Genomic DNA, 16960 nt, shown 5'->3' with positions numbered 1-16960 from the left:
ATTTACTTTTAACAGATGTATATTCAAAAATTAAAAAGCAAAACAAATTGCTCCCGGCAAGTTCAGATTCCCTCAAGGCAAGGACAGCATAAAAATGGCAGGGAGCAGTACTAAGTCATTCATGACTGAAGCTCACAAACTAACTGAACTGTACTGAATTGAACCAAGCAACAAATTAGAAATATGGAGGGTATACTGGCCTCACCATTTTTATTCCTTCTAACTCCAGGCACCATAGAGAGAGAAATGACTAAATCTCTATTTTAATAGCTGCTGTCAAGAGTTTTGCTCTGTAGGGCCTATTTCAGCAGTTCCTGGTAGTAATATATGGCATTTCCCTGATTAACAGCCATTTTATAACCTCCGTAATTGGCCACAAATCAGAGAAATGTCATAATGTAGCAAGAAAACATTCCCATCTCCGTCATAGCCTTGGCTTGGTTTTCTAGAGGAATTATTACTTGAGTAGTTTGTGGGTTTTCATTACTTTAAATAATGTACTACCTGAACTACAAAAAAAATAAATTTAAACTAATGAACATTTCTGTCTCCTAACCCTTCCTACAATGCTTGTCTTTAGATTTCTTTTTCTCTTGGAAAAAAAATGGCTGAAAATAAAATTCTTTCTTCATTTTTATAATACCAGTGTTTGTGGGGAAATAGAGGCGAGGGCACGGCCCTGGTATTATTAAAATCTTAAAGACAGGATTGGTTCTTGCACTTGCATGAATCACCTCGCTCCCTTCCTCCCTATTCCCAGCCCTGGGCAAGGGTATGAGATAGGAAGGAGTGACCGCAAAGTCACGGGATTGAGTCCATTTGTCCAATAGGAACACAGGTTTTGGCTTCTTACAGTCATTCTTCAGATTGTAATAAGAGGTACCTGCTGAGCAGAATTATGTGTGTAGGGAGTTTTATTTCACCTGTAATACACAGCCTGAAGAATTGTACTATTAAAATTTTACTTATAATCGAGATAGAACTTGTAATTTCATATCAGCTTCTACTGAGACCAAAACATGCCAAATATAAATGATTTTAAAACCTCTTCTCTTTCTAAGATAAGTAAGATAAGCCAACACCATTTATTGTAAAAAATAAGTATTTCCTCATTTGAGCTAGTCACTATTATGCATACTAGAAATACACAGTTAGCAAAACCCCATGTCTTTCCTCAAGAAGATGGAATGCCAAAAATTTATACATCTGTTATGCATCAATAAAAAAGTTTTAAAAATTGTAAAAGAAGATGGAATATTAATTAGTCCATGATTGTGGTGGTTTGACAAGCCTATGAGAAAACTATACCAGAGAGGGGGCATGTAAATCAGATGAGGTGTTAGGTTTCCTGGAAATGATGGCATTTGAACTAAATCCTGAAGGTCTGGAAGAAAGCAGTTAGGCAAAGAAGAGAGGTGAAGGATGGGGCATTCCAAGGGGAAGAAATAATACTGAAAACATGAAGGCTTGGAATAGTAGCATGTTTGGGAGGAATTATGAATACTTAGGTAAGGGTAGGGAGACAGATATGAGACAGAAAATGGTAGGGAATGAAACTGAAGAGAGAAACAGGTGGCAATTCAAATGGGAGACAAGAGATAAGTGCATAAAATAATAATTGTAATGGCTCATATAGAGAGCAGCCATGTTTAATGATATATTCTTAACATAAAACCCATAATATGGCAGTAGATATTTTGTGCATTTTGATTCCTGAATCAGAAATAAAATACAAGAAAAATGTATTTAGGGCCGGGCACGGTGGCTCACATCTGTAATCTCAGCACTTTGGGAGGCCGAGGCGGGAGGATCACTTGAGGTCAGGAGTTCAAGACCAGCCTGGTCAACATGGTGAAACCCTGTCTCTACTCAAAATGCAAAGATTAGCCAGGTGTGGTGGCATGCACCTGTAATCCCAGATATGAGGCAGGACAATCACTTGAACCTGGGAGACAGAGGCTGCAGTGAGCCAAGATCGCACCACTGCACTCCAGCCTGGTTGACAGAGCGAGACTTCATCTCAGAAAAAGAAAAATGTATTTAATTTTGTTTTTCTTTTTAGAGACAGGATCTTACTCTGTTACCCAGGCTGGTGTACAGTAGTGTGATCACAACTCACGGTAACTTCACGCCCCTGGGCTAAAGCGATCCTCCTGGCTCAGCCTTCCAAGTAGCTATGCCTATGTGCTCACGCTGCTACACCTGACTAAATTTTTAAAAAATGTTTTGTAGAGACAGGATCTTGCTATGTTTCCCCGGCTGGTCTCAAATTCTTGGCACCAAGGGATCCTCCTGCCTCGGCCTCCCTAAGCACTAGAATCACAGGTGTGAGCCACTATGGCTGGCCTGGGTTTGATACTCTTAAAAACTTATTACACTAAAAGTTACTATACATTAGATATAGGTGAAGTGATGCTATAGAAATAAGACTTACAAATTATGAGATATTACCCTACTTGAAGTGAGATAGGTAGACAACATTTTGTAAAACTAGTGAGAAAGTTTACTTGCATTAAATAGATTATAGAATCATCACAAAAATCATGCTAAAGAAATTACATTCTCCAATAGTGTGATAGAATATCTTATCAGTAACAACCCGATTAACTGGAATATAATAAAAACTATGGCCACACTGACCTTTTACATCATTTGCTAACTTCTTGGCTTCGTTAAGAATCCTGAAGCTTTTCTGAAGACAGCCTTTGGCATCTTCCTTTAATAAACCCCGAGGACCTGTTGCCTGTGGACAGAAAAACAAATGTCATACATCTAAAACCATAGAATAATGGAGTGGAGGGATCCAGAAGGCAGTTGGTACACAGAGTTTGCCTTTAGGAAAGAGCTCTGGGCTGCAGATATAGAATTGTAAATTATTAGCACATATTCGGTAGTTAAAGTTAGGAGACTGTTTATTACGGTATGAGAAGAAGATCTAGAACAGAGTTCTTAGGAACTTCAATGTTTAGGGAGTAGGCAGAGAAAGTGGAGCTGGCAAGGTGACTGGCATTCCACAGAGGAAAAGGAGAAATTAGGAGAGCATAACACTATGGAAATTAAGAGATGCAGAAGTGACTCGATGCATGATAACTGGCGGTGTTGTAAGGACATAACTGAGCAGCATTATGACGTGCTACAGAAGTCAAGCAAATTAAGAACTAAACACATCCCCTGACTTTATCCTTAAGCAAATTTCACTCTAGTTGTGGACTGAGAGGGGAGCATTTCCTGTATCTCCCAAGTGCTGAAATGAGAAAGAACACTGCTTCTTTTAAAAAATGCATCTTAAAGCGGTATGGCAAAACACAATCTTCTAAATGACAATCTCTGAGCCACAATTATCTCCAAGCAAAGATATATTTGTTTAGACTCAGATTAAAAAAGGTGACACAAAGTTAATAGAATGATATGGGAAAAGGAATGTTTAACTTGAATGTCTAGTTACCCATTTTAATAGTGTTTGCTCCTCAGCAATCATTACATAATTCATATATACCAAGAGATAAATCAAACAGGATCTTATGTGTAAATTTTAAATTGGAAAAGTATTGCAAGTGCAAGAAGGGTTGGAGAGTGCTAAATACTTACTGTTGAAGATATAAATCTGAACTCAGATTATCACAGACATAACACTCGTTAAAGGCATCTGGACTGCCTTAGTTACATTATTTTTATCAGTCACATTATTTGAACATTAAACTAGAAAAGATTACAGAACTTGGTATGGCTGTGGTCAAATTTATTTTAATGTATTATTCTAACAGCTTTCAGGTAAATAATTGATTGCTCATAGAACAGATTGATTGTACAATGCTATCATATCTACAAAAAGATATATTGGAAACATCTACATAAATAAAAAAGAACACTGAACATAGTTCTTGCAAAAGACAACCTTGGCAAATTATTCTCCAGAAAACTGATGATGTTTTCTGCTGGGAAAAACAGGAATTCTCATTGCTACAGTTCTCTTGGGAATTAGATACAGTAACATCACATAAGTGTCATTCATCTTGGAAAAAAAAAAAAGAGTGTCAAAATTAATGACACAGATGCAATGTACTTTAACTCACGAAGTAAGCCTCAGGTTACCCACTCAGATTCTATATTTGTTCCAAATTTACACGTCATTTTTACTCCCTTGGTTATAGGTTTTCTGAATCAAAACAATTTAGAGACAGGAAATTACAATGAAAGAATGTGTGAAGATTCTCTAAACAAACACATGAAAACAGCAGAAGTGACAGCTGACAATCTGTCCGACAATGAGCAAAGAGAAGAGAAAACTCTAAAAAGTGGAGAGAGGAATTTTTGAAGCTCAGGAGTCTGAGTCAATTTGGAAAGGGATAAAATGTATAGAGGTAAAGTAGGTCTCAGTAGATGCCAACCTTATTGTGGTAAAATAACCAAGGATGATAATACAATCCTGAATTGTCAAGATAATATAGGCCATTTATAGTACTAGATGAAACTAGACAAAAAAAGAAAACAGCTTTCCCCAGTGCCTTGGAGTGTGAATACCTTTTTGTAAGAATGTAATCTGACAAGCATTTAAAAGTCATAATTTTAAAGCTAACTTCAGGTGTGCAAAGTGAGGCACAGGATTAAAGTGGAGAGAAAAGGTTGATTTGCTGAGCATAAGAAAATAAGGAATAGCATCAGCGGCAGACTGGATAAATAAAATGTGGTACATATACACCATGGAATACTATGCAGTCATAAAACGAATGCAATCATGTCCTTTGCAGGAACATGGATGGAGTTGGAGGCCATTATTCTTAGCAAACTAATGCAGGAACAGAAAATCAAATACAGCATGTTCTCATTTATAAGTGGGAGCTAAATGATGAGAACATATGGACACAAAGGGGAGAACAACATACACCGAGGCCTACTTGAGGGTAGCTAGTGGGAGGAGGGAGAGAAACAGAGAAAAATAACTATTGGGTAGTAGACTTAGTTCCTGCGTGATGAAATCTATACAACAAACCTCCATGACAAGAGTTTACCTATATAAAAAACCTGCACATGTACCTTTGAACCTAAAATACAAGTTTCAAAAATTAAAAAAAAGTAAAAAGAATTTAAAAAAGAAAATAAATGGAATTGGTAAGAGAGAAAAGAGGAAGATGGCCCAAACAACAGTGAAAGAGGCTAAAATCTAAGTTGTGGAAATTGTGGAGGGACTATGACCAGAGATGACTAATACTGTTTAATACTTTTATTGAGTTAAAACTGGCATAAATAAACCATGCAAACCAATTTACAATTGGATAAGTTTTGAATATGTACACCCATGAGACCATTACCACAACCATGGTAGAGAATATATCCATCATTTCTTTTGAATCTCTTTCTTCTATCCTTCCTTCTCTTCCCTCTGTCCCCAGACAAATACTGATCTGCTTTCCATCACTGTAGGTTTGCATTTCATAGAATTTTATACAAATGGAAACATTCTGCATGTACTCTCTTTTTGTCTGGCTTCTTTCACTCAACATAGTTTCAACATTTATCTATGTTGTGTGTGTATCCATATTTGATCCTTTTTATTGGTAATTATTTCATCATAGGGATATGTACACATCTGTGTACAAATTTTTGGGTGAACATATGCCATCATTTATCTTGGAGTAAATACACAGAAGCAGAATGGCTGGATCATATGGTAATTTATGTTTACGTTTTTAAGAAATTATCAACCTGTTTTCTAAAGTATCTGAACTATTTATATTCCCATCACCAGTGTATGAGAGCTGCATGTGCCTACATCTTTGTTGATACTTGGTATAACCTGTCTTTTAAAATTTTAGACATTCTAACTGGTCATCATTTTGGTTTTGCTTTGTGTTTTCCTTATGACTAATAACATTGAGCATCTTTTCACATGCTTATTTTCCACCTTCTTTGGTGACCTGTTTAAATCTTTTGTTCAAATTTTCTTGGGTTATTTGCTCTTATTTTTGAGTTTTGAATGATACATATGAATAATCTGGATATGGGTCCTTTATCAGATATGTAATTTGGAAATATATTCTACTAGTTTGTAGTTATCTTTTCATTTTCTTAAAAGTGCTTTTTTTTTTTTGAAGGGAAGAAGTTCTCAATTTTGATGAAATTTAAGTTGTTAATTTTGTTTTCCTTTTGAGGATATGCTTTTGGTGGTGTATCTAAGAATCTTTGCTTTACCCAAGATCACAAAGATTTTTCTTATATATTTTTAGATGTTTTATATTTTTATGTTTTACAGTTAGGTCTAGCATCTCTTTTGAGTTAATTTTGGAATATGGTGCAAGATACAGACTGAAGTTCATTTTTTTTGTTGTTGTTCATGGATATTCAATTCCTCTAGTAGAATTTGTTAAATATACCTTGTATTGCTTTTGTATTTTTGTCATAAATCATTTGACCATACATGTCTGGATCTATATCTGGACTCTTTAATCTATTCTAATAATCTATTTGTCAATATTGATACCAACACCACATTCTCTGATTACCATAGCTTGGTAGTAAGTATTGAAGTCAGGTAGTATAACCTTTCCAACATTTTTCTCCTTTCCAATTCCATATGAATTGTAAAACATATCTGTAAATTTTTAGGAAAAAACCTTGCTAGGATTTTTACTGGGATTGCATTGAATGTGTAGGTCAATATGTATAAACTAGGATTATAGGAATATTGAATCTTCTGATCTATGAACATGGTATATCTCTTGATTTATTTAGATTTTCTTTTATTTATCTCCAGAGTATTCAGTGTAGGGGGTCTTTTACATTTTTAATGCTATTGTAAACTGTAACCTTTTAATTTCAACTTCCAACGTATCCTTGCCAGTCTTTGAAATGACTGATTTTCACATATAGATGTTGTACCTTATAACATTGGTAAGCTCACTTATTAGTTCTAGTAACTTTTTTTTAATAGATAGCATTTTATTTTATGCTTTTTAAACTTTTTTTTTGGTTGTAGAGATGAGGTCTTGCTATGTTGCCCAGCTAGTCTCAAACTCTTGGCCTCAAGCAATCCACCTGCCTCAGCCTCCTAAAGCACTAGGGTTACAGGCATGAACCACCAGGATTTTATGCTTAGACTTCTATAGTATCTGTGAATAAAAACATTTGTACTTATTTTTCAATCTGGATGCCATTTATTTCCTTTTTCTTGCCCCTTGTACTGGTTAGTCTCTCTAGTACAATGTTAAATGGAAGTAATGGAAGCAGATATCCTTGCCTTCTTCCTAATCTTAGTCTTGTGCTAAGTATGATTTTAGCTGTTAGGTTTTTTTAAAAAATAGGTTTTTATAGTGATCAGGTAGTGAAGTTCCCCTACTCTTAGTAGGCAGTTTTTAAAAAAAAATAGACGCATTTTGTCAAATGCCTTTGCTGTATCAATTGAGGTGATTATATAGTTTGCTTTTTAGTTTGCTATATGGTAAATTACACTGACTAATTTCAAATATTAAACCAATCTTACATCCTGGCATTAATATCATTTAGTGATCATGTATAATCCTTTGAGTAAATCATTAGATTTGATTTGTTATAACTTTGCCATGAACTTTTACATCTATGTTCATGGAGGGATATTGTTATATAATATAATTTTCTTTTTTAAAAACTATCTTTGTCTGCCATTGGTATCAGAGTAATACTGGCCTCGTAGAATGAGGTTGGATGTATTTTCTCCTCTTCAATTTTCTGAAAGAGTTTATTATTTCTTCATTAAATATTTGGTGGAATTCACAAGTAAAGTCATCTGGAACTGAATTTGTGTGTGTGAAGGTTTTGAACTACAAATTAAATTCTCTAATGAATATAGAACTATTCAGATTATTTATCTGTGAGTTTTGGTAGTTTGTGATTTTCAAAGAATTTGCCCTTTTTATCCAAATTGTTGAATTATTGCCATAAAATTGTTCATAATATCCTCTTAACATCCTTTACTATCTGCAGAAGTTGTAGTGATTTCACCTCTTGTATTCCTGATATTGGTAGTTGGTGACTTTTCTGATTTTTTTCTGATTAGTCTGGCTGGATGATTATCAATGTATTGATTTTCCACTGGCTCTTGCACCTTCATCCAGAAACATGACAGCCCTGACTGAAGGCTATGTACTGATACAGACCTCCGTGTTGCTAATTTTCTATCTTCTTGCATTTCTGAATATCACCTGCTCTTTGCTTCCAGGCAATTTTTTTTTCCCTGCTTTTTAGGAAGTCAGTGATTTCTTCCTGGATCCTTAGTCAACCATTCCTTGCTCAGATGAAAGGAGACAGGTAGTATATACAGGAATGTAGAAGATATAGTAGAAATAGTATAAGGAAAGGCAGGGAGGCAGGCAGGGACTTTTGATGTGTGGATGTGAGAGCGAGTATTTCAGCTCCCTAAGTTTGTAGGGTTCGTCAAGGGCAATGTGGAGAAGTAAGGCTATTAGACAGGTCAGAGTCAATTTCTGGAAGGTTTGAATGTGCGAGTAAGGAAACTGGGCAATGAGCAATTTGGAGGCCTTGAAAGTTTCTGAGTAGGAGAGTGTGATCAGAGCTGTAGTCCAAGAAGATGAATTGGGCAGCTGTGTGGGAAAAAAGGAGCCATCAATTGGTTATTGTAATAGTATAGGCCAGAGAAAAGAGAATAGTCACCTCATGCAAGCACCGTGGAATTGAGAGGTTAAAAATCAAGAGATTTGGAGGAAAAGACATGCCTCAATGTTTCAAGAAGCTCTCTAAAATATTAAAGTAAAGAGCTTATGGCATACAACTGTCAGTTACAAGCAGTCTGCCAGCAATCTGGGTTTAAAGGACAGGCTTTTCACATGATAAGGGAATGGAAAACACTAACATGTTATGGGTGAAAAGCACCGTTTCAACTCACTGGAATTTGGAGAGAACCTTTTCCAGCATTGCTTGGTAAGTTATTGAAGCACATCAACAATATCAGGACAGGTGATGAAGCAGCATTTTCTAAGCTAATTATACTTTATACATATTCATAAGCATCACATCTGAGTTCCTGAGCTGTGTCTACAGCATATGTGAAATATAAATGAGATTCTTTGAGTTGCAAGATATTTTGTTTCTTGCTTTTTAGAGGTTTTTTTTTTTAAACAATAAATTCTTGGTATTCTCTTTCTGAGTCTGTGTACATATATATATATTCATACATATGGATATACAAGTTATATAAAAATTTCAACTATATCATGCAAAACAGAGTCTATTTTTATGTAAGTTGCTGTATGTTTTTATTAGTTAATAATTGTTTAAGAAAATGTGAGATAATTTAAAACGTCATTATAGCAGGAAAAAATGAAATTATAAAGTCTGTTAGGATTCAACAGATGACTTGGCATGTAATTGCATTTTAATACATGTTAGTTTTCCTCTTCCTACTACTTATTAGATATTCATAATTACTCTTGCTAAAGCATACTGCCATTGATTAATAGATAAGTGAATTGATTTATTTACCCAACAAAACTTTTTATTTATCTCAAGCACCAAATATTCAAAATGGAAAGACTATGCCTTCCCTAATGGAACTGGAGTGGAGGGAAGAGGAAAGACAAACAAATATAGTCACTTATAAAAAAAGACAATCATTACCATAATGGAACACAGAAATGCCTAGATGTTTGGCTGTCAGAGGAGGCTCTGCTGGAGGAGGGAGGTGTGAAGGCAAGTTAGAGTTTATCAGGCTGACTAACCTGTACCCCAGTGATTTTCTAAACAAGCAAGTTTAAAAGTTATTGTTTACATTGCTTTATATATTTTGCTTTTTTCCTAAATGTTCCCCAAATTACTTTTTTATTAGAGATGAAATTTTTGAACTCATTGAAAGAGTTGGCTGTAAAAGATGTAAAATATTTATTTTCTGTTTTTTTGTTTACTTTTTAAAGACAGTAGTAACTAAAAATTCATCAGCATGGTTTATGACTTATTCTATTACTCTCTCTCTTTATGAAATAATTTATTTTAGAAGAGAAGTCTTACACATTTCCACAGGGGTTAATGTGCCAAGATAATATAAAACTTAAAATGATTTTAAATTAAAAATATTTTCAATAAAGAAAACTGCTCAAACTGTGCAGGGATATATGTAAGGGTTGGTGACTGGCTGCAATGTGTTTATGTAAAGTGAGTAACAGAAGAAATTTAGAGTTTGGTATGTTAGACTATGAATCAAAATCAAGGATAATGTTCTTACTATAATAATGATGTAAATTCTCAGAATCTAGTTCAATATACATTTTAAAAATATATTTTTGAGAATATTTTTTAAAATACGTATGTGATGTTCATTCCCATAGTAAGTTATGAAACAGTTATATAAATATCACCCATTTGTAGAAAAACTATTTGCATAGGAAAAGATATGAGTAGATATACAATGATATTACAAAAGTAATTACTCGTATGCACATTTTATATTTTCTTCTTCTTGCTTTTCTGTATTTCCTATTTTCTATAATAGACATAAGCTGCTTTTATAATAATTTAAAAAATCATACACAATTTTAAAATAAGAAAATCACCATGCATCAATTTTTAAGGTGCTTTATATAGTACTGTACATTTTTAAGTACTATAGGTTATTAAAATTAAATAATGAGTAAAAAATGAGTCAAGAAACACCCCAAAGAGACGGCTTTGGTCAAAAATCTCTTAAAAGGCTGTAGGTCCCTGGCATCGCATAGCATACCCTAAGGGTGGTAGATGGGTCAGATGAGTATCTGTCAAGATTGAAAGCAGCTGAGCACTCAAAGGAGACTCAGTGATAAAATAGGAAATCCCCCAAATTGCTCATGATAATTTAAAATTCGTGAGTGTGAATTTTTAGCTTTATGGGAACACCAAGAAGGACAATCAAGGGAGCATTCAAAAATATAAAATGAAGTAAGGATGGTTTTCCTCAATTACAGCATGACAGACATAATTGCTCAGTACCTATGTGTACCACTAGACTGCTTCAGTGAGACAGACACTGGACTAGCAGCTGGCTACTAGAGGTGGGGTGGGCCCATACCACAAAGAGTCTTAGTTTTGAGTAAAGGTAATGGAGAGGTGTCTATTAAGTTAGATACCATTCTTAGAGGGCTTCGAATTTTCCCTCTAGTTAATGTCCAGAATCAAAAACAACATCAATCTCACCTCTTGATTATTCTACCTACGGGTAGAAATCATAAAGAGCAGGTAGGATGGCACCAAGAGCATTATTGTCTTGAAGAAAATTAGATCAAACTTAGATTGCATTGTGGCATTGTTCAAAAGAGTTCTGTGTTTCCGACTGATGACACAAACCCTGAGACATCTATCATTTTATGCCCTGAACTTTTAAATACATCTAAGGCTGGGTCAAAAAATTTATTTCTCTGCTTCCAATAGACTTTTAAAAAAATTATTGACCCAAATGAGAGTATCATGTACAAAAAAAAAAATCACTAAAGCCAGCATGGCTTTGCTAAGAGAGTAGATTTTAAGTGTTCTCAACACAGAAAAATGACCAGTATGTGAGGTAGTGCATATTTTTAAATACCTCGATTTAGCCATTCCACAATGTATACTTATTTCAAAGCATCATGTTGTACATGATAAATATATACCACTTTTATCTGTCAATTAAAATAAATAAATTCTGAAAATTAAGTTATAAACTTTGGAAACTATATTTATTATAGGAATTAAGCCAATGGAGGAATCAGAACAGACTGCACAGTGTTTCTTGAAAAGGCATTATTGGTACATTAGGTGACACAGCTAATTACATAGACAATATGTATTGAATTTGGAGCCAGATCATCTAATTCCCAAATTCTGGCCTGCTAGCATCTTCCCTCAATTTAATTAGAAGTTTCCAGAACACAACTTGAACCTAATTCTGATCAATAAAAAAAAATCCTATATGACATCACGTTCACTGATATTTACACATGATCTCAAACTAAACAGGGAAAGAAAGTAATTTTATTTACTTTTATTTTGAATTTTTTTATTCTGTTCAACTTCCGTATCTCTTAGGGTAATATAAATATCTTATCAATTCTGAAAATCTGGACTATCATAGCCATTCCTGATTTCTAGCATCAGAATTTGGAGATGGGAGGGACAACCTATATTTGGCGATCACCTGTTGTCCACCAGGCATATCTAGATAAAAATCATGGAATATTGAGTATAAAATAGTGAAAGACCGAAACACTCAAGACCTTTAGGGATATCCATATTTCTGCTCCCTGGGGAGAGGGGATCTATTGTCAGCTTAAATTTTAATTCTAAAGACTTTCTTTTCTGAGAAAAGGAAATAGGAACAAAACAAAACACCACAGTCACCAAGCAGTGAAAACAGAGGGAGCAGGCGATGAAAACTCTTCTGAGAGCAAGAGGGTCTCAGTAATGGCAGTGTCAGCCTGTCTGGCTTTGTGCTCCACAGAGCTGGTGGGAGCCAGGAACAAGTGGGAGCCATGTCCCCTTCCGAGTTGAAGGTGGGGGAACCCTGCCCTACTGGGTGCAGCTGCAGCCACCCAGCCAGCTGTGGACCCAGGCATCCCTGTGCCCTCAGCCACCTCTCTTCCCCTACAGGCTCAGAAGTGCCCGCTCCTTCTTCCTGGTCTCTCACTGTTCCCGGCACCCAGGCTGATTTCAGAGCAAAGCTGAGGCTGTTGCAACCCAGCCAGGTGTGCATATGCTCGGGGCAGCACTGACACTCTAGCCCCCTACTATCTTGGCCCCTTCTGGATTTTGGGTGCCAAGGAGCACATTAGGGAGGCCAAGGGGGAGTTGAGGGTGGCTCTGCATGGGCCTGAAGGTGACCCTAGGCATGAACAGCCTGGGTGCCAGTGGGCGCCGTGGATGGCAGGTTGGTGGTGGCAGGAGGCATACAGGTTCCTGGGTGGAAAGGGGTGGGCCCTCAGTGAAGCTCCACCTTCAAGCCAGGGACTGCCTGAAGGAAGGGGGCTGGACTGTCGGTTCCACAAACTGGAGTGAGAACTTATGGTGCTTTTTTTGGGCCAGCTCATGGCCACCCATGGACCAATCAGCATACACTTCCTCCCCTCTGAGGCCCATAAAAAACCCCGGACTCAGCCAGACGTGGGCAGACAACAGGATGATCTACCTGTGGATAGGAGCTACCCACTGTGTGTCTCACCTCTGTTGAGGGTGCTGCACAGATGCTGGAATTACCTGCCTGTGGAACGGAGCTACCCATTTCAGGCCTCCTGAGAGTTGCACTGTCACTCAATAAAGCACCTCTTCACCTTGCTAACCCTCCAGTTGTCTGCAAACCTCATTCTTCCAGGATGTGGGACAAGAACTTGGGACCCCCCCGCAAATGGTGGAAATGAGAGAGCTACAACACAAACAGGGTTGAAACACACCCCCTTCCCCAGCTCACCATGTTGACAGCAATGAGCAGGAGAGAAGGGCTGTGGCCTTTTGGGGAGCTGAGACCTATGGACTCCCTGAGCCAGGGCTGTGAGACCCTCTTTCAGACTCTGTGGTTCCTGGCATCTCCAAGCTCCTGGGTGCCACCGCATTCCCTGGTACCAGTGGTGGAAGCCAATTGTAGTATGTCTGGTTCAGCCACAGCCTCACATAGAGCCAGGACCTGGAGCTGCCCAGCCCACTGCAGCTGGCACGCTTAGCTGTGCACAGTGGCTGGAGCCCACGCTCACTCACACACCCCTCGCCACTCTGCCCTGAATCACCCTTGGCAGGTGTGGGATCCAGCCCAGTAGTGGTAGTGTGAGCCAAGTGTAGCCTGCCAGGCTGAGTGGGCGGAATGTGCCCAGTGGACCTCAGCAAAACTCAGGCAAAGGTGCCACTGGCCACAGAGGTTTCCAGCTGGTGAAGAAACACCCCAAGGATCCTGTGACATCAGAACTTCCCTTATACAAGCCCCCACATGCTGGGGCTGTGCAGTCTGTGTAGGGCCCAAAGGGTCTGGCTCTGGGCGATGGAACTGGCCAGGGAATGGCTCACCATGCTGTGTGCCCTGACATATCTGGCCCAGTGGTTACATAACTCCCACCAAGACTGCATGAGGCTCCCAAGCATATCTTTCCCATGGAGAAAGCAAAATATACAGTAAGAAAACAAACAGCTCTTCAGAAATACAGATTAATTAATTTAAAATTTGAATTCTGAGAATAGTACCAAGAGACTAAGTAAAATGGAGTGACTGTCCGGGGGAGATTGGTGGGGAATAAAACTATGACGGAGTAAAAAGAAGTTGATCAAAGAAAGTGTATAATTTCGGCCGGGCGCGGTGGCTCACGCCTGTAATCCCAGCACTTTGGGCGGGCGGATCACGAGGTCAGGAGATCGAGACCATCCCGGCTAAAACGGTGAAACCCCGTCTCTACTAAAAATACAAAAAAATTAGCCGGGCGTAGTGGCGGGCGCCTGTAGTCCCAGCTACTTGGGAGGCTGAGGCAGGAGAATGGCGTGAACCCGGGAGGCGGAGCTTGCAGTGAGCCGAGATCCCGCCACTGCACTCCAGCCTGGGCGACAGAGCGAGACTCCGTCTCAAAAAAAAAAAAAAAAAAAAAGAAAGAAAGTGTATAATTTCAGCAAAGAAAGCTTCCCTTTGGACAGGGTTGGCACTCTTTCCTAGCCACACCACCATGGGCCTTTTATTTTCTTTTTTGTGAGATAAGGTCTTGCTCTGTCACGCAGGCTGGAGTGCAGTGGCATGATCTTGGCTCACTGCAGCCTTGACTTCCCAGGCTCAGGGGATCCTCCCACCTCAGCCTCCTGAGTAGCCTGGATTACAGGCATGTGTCACCATGCCTGGCTAATTTTTGTATTTTTAGTAGAGATGGGGTTTCGCCATGTTGTCCAGGCTGGTCTCAAACTCCTGGGCTCAAGCAATCTTCCCACCTCAGCCTCCCAAAGTGCTGGGATTACCGGCATGAGTCACTGCACCCAGCCACCATGGTTATTTAGATAGTTCCTGCTCCTCAATCTTTTGCAGTTATTGTACCCACAACTTGCACTATAGGGTATATGCCAGCAAGGAGATAGAAAAAATTTGGAGAAGGCCAGGCCTCAGAAAGAACAGGTAAGGTAGAGAATGAGAGTCAGTTGTGAAAATAAAAAGGAATAATTCACTGCAAGTTATTTTATGGAATAAAATACCCCTTCTCTTCTGCACAGAGCAACTGGCAATCAAGCATCAAATGGCCCACTGAAAAAAAATCAAAGGGAGTCCTTTAAGGAATAAAATGTCTTCAGAGAAGGGACTTCTGTATTCTGCCATGGCACAATTATGGTTATAGATAAAATGTAAATGTTATTGACCATCACAATATCAAAGTTAAAGAGGTAGAAGCTGAGAGGACGAGGAAAAAAGGAAGCTAAAGGGAAGAATGAGGACATAAATAGCTTCATCTTAAAGAGTGCAGAGTCTATCATTTATACAGGAAATAATGCTCTCAGTATATTAGGTTAAAAATGAAGAATCTAAGCACAGTAATGTACCTATATTGGGAAACTGAAGGGTGGGAAAATGTGATGTGATATTCTGTAAGTGAACTACATCTCCTTCATCATAGCAGTAATTAAATAGATAATGCCCCACTTAATGAAATACGTGATGGCACAATAATATTACTAAGAGATGTAGTAAAAGAAGAATATTTGAAAGATTTGGAATTGTTGATCCTGGAGCTGTGAGCTTAGTTGAGAGAAAAGTTAGGTTAGGGGATTGTTGCTTGCAATTATCAGCCTCTGATCATTTAAAAGAAATTAAAACATGTATGCATCATGAATTTAGAAAAAGAAAGAAATTTAGAACTTCTTGCTGGTGTAAAGGATGAGGGTTGTTGTTTCATTTCCAGACCCATTTTAGACCTATTTTCTTTATTATTTTAGAACAGATTTTATTGCAGGACAGATTTTCTATCTCCTCTGAGGTTCATTTTAATTAAACTATTTAAGTAGGAAATAAGATAGATACGATTAGAAATTAATACAGACACCTCTATTCCCATCATCTGTATCTGGCAAATGTTAATGTTTTACTGTATATTTACAGATCTTTAAAATATGTACATTTGAACTGGGTTTTATAATATTTCATTTGTAGCTTCTCTATTTAAATAACTGGCCTATAGTTTTTCTTTGTAGTACTGTCCTCTGTAGGGCTTGCCATCAAGATTGTATCAGCCTCATAAAATAAGCTGAGGAAATTTTTCTTCTTTTTCCATTCTTGGGAACAAATTGCATAATGGGTCCTTTACATTTTTGTACATATTGTTATTTTGTTGTATTAACTACTGATGCAATTTATTTAACGGTTATAGTTCTCAGGTGTACTATTTCTTTTTGAGTAAATTTTGCTCTAAACTTACTGTTTACTTCACCTAAGTATTCAAATGTGTTTGAATAAAATTGCGCATATCCTCCAATATATCCATTTTTATTTTTCAATCTATAATGTATCTACAGTTATGATCCCCTTTTCATTCTTGATCCTATTCATTTGTGTTGTCTCTCTTTGCTTAATTGTTCTTGTCTTCTGTTTATTTGCTAGTTTATTCTAAGAATCAACTTGCTGTTTTGTCAACCCTGTCTAATGCCTTTCCTTAGGTCATTAATTTCTGCTTTTATTTTTATTTCTTTCTGTGTACTTTTTTAAACATCTTGAGCAGAAACCTTAGATAATTAGTATCAGTTCTTACCCTTGCCTAATATCTGCATTCCAAACTGTACATTTTCCTGTTGGTACCACTTTATTTGCACACACAAATTTTGAGGTGAAATTTTATTTCCATTCTGTTATTAAATACTTCGTAAATTTAAACTGTGTTTTTTTCTCAAGCCATGGATTACTTTGAAGTATGTTTTTTATTTTAAAACTTTTTGTCAATTGTTTTGTACCAATTTCTAATTGTATTGCATTATGATAAGAGGATGTAGTCTAGATGCTATTGGATCATTAGGATTTGCTGATACTTGC

The 16960-nt window shown here is 37.3% G+C and overlaps 1 protein-coding gene across 2 annotated transcripts in view; it reads right to left on the bottom strand.

Annotated features, from left to right (window-relative positions):
* LAMA2 (laminin subunit alpha 2) overlaps positions 1–16960 on the bottom strand; it is a 633429-nt gene that overhangs the window by 86072 nt on the left and 530397 nt on the right. For both annotated transcript variants that reach the window (NM_000426.4, NM_001079823.2), the window contains exon 41: positions 2641–2743. In NM_000426.4, coding sequence (NP_000417.3) covers positions 2641–2743 — 103 coding nt within the window. The remainder of the gene's footprint in view (positions 1–2640; positions 2744–16960) is intronic.

Source organism: Homo sapiens, chromosome 6 (assembly GCF_000001405.40).
Source record: "Homo sapiens chromosome 6, GRCh38.p14 Primary Assembly".
Taxonomy (NCBI): Eukaryota; Metazoa; Chordata; class Mammalia; order Primates; family Hominidae; genus Homo; species Homo sapiens.
This window is presented reverse-complemented; position numbering and strand designations above follow the sequence as displayed.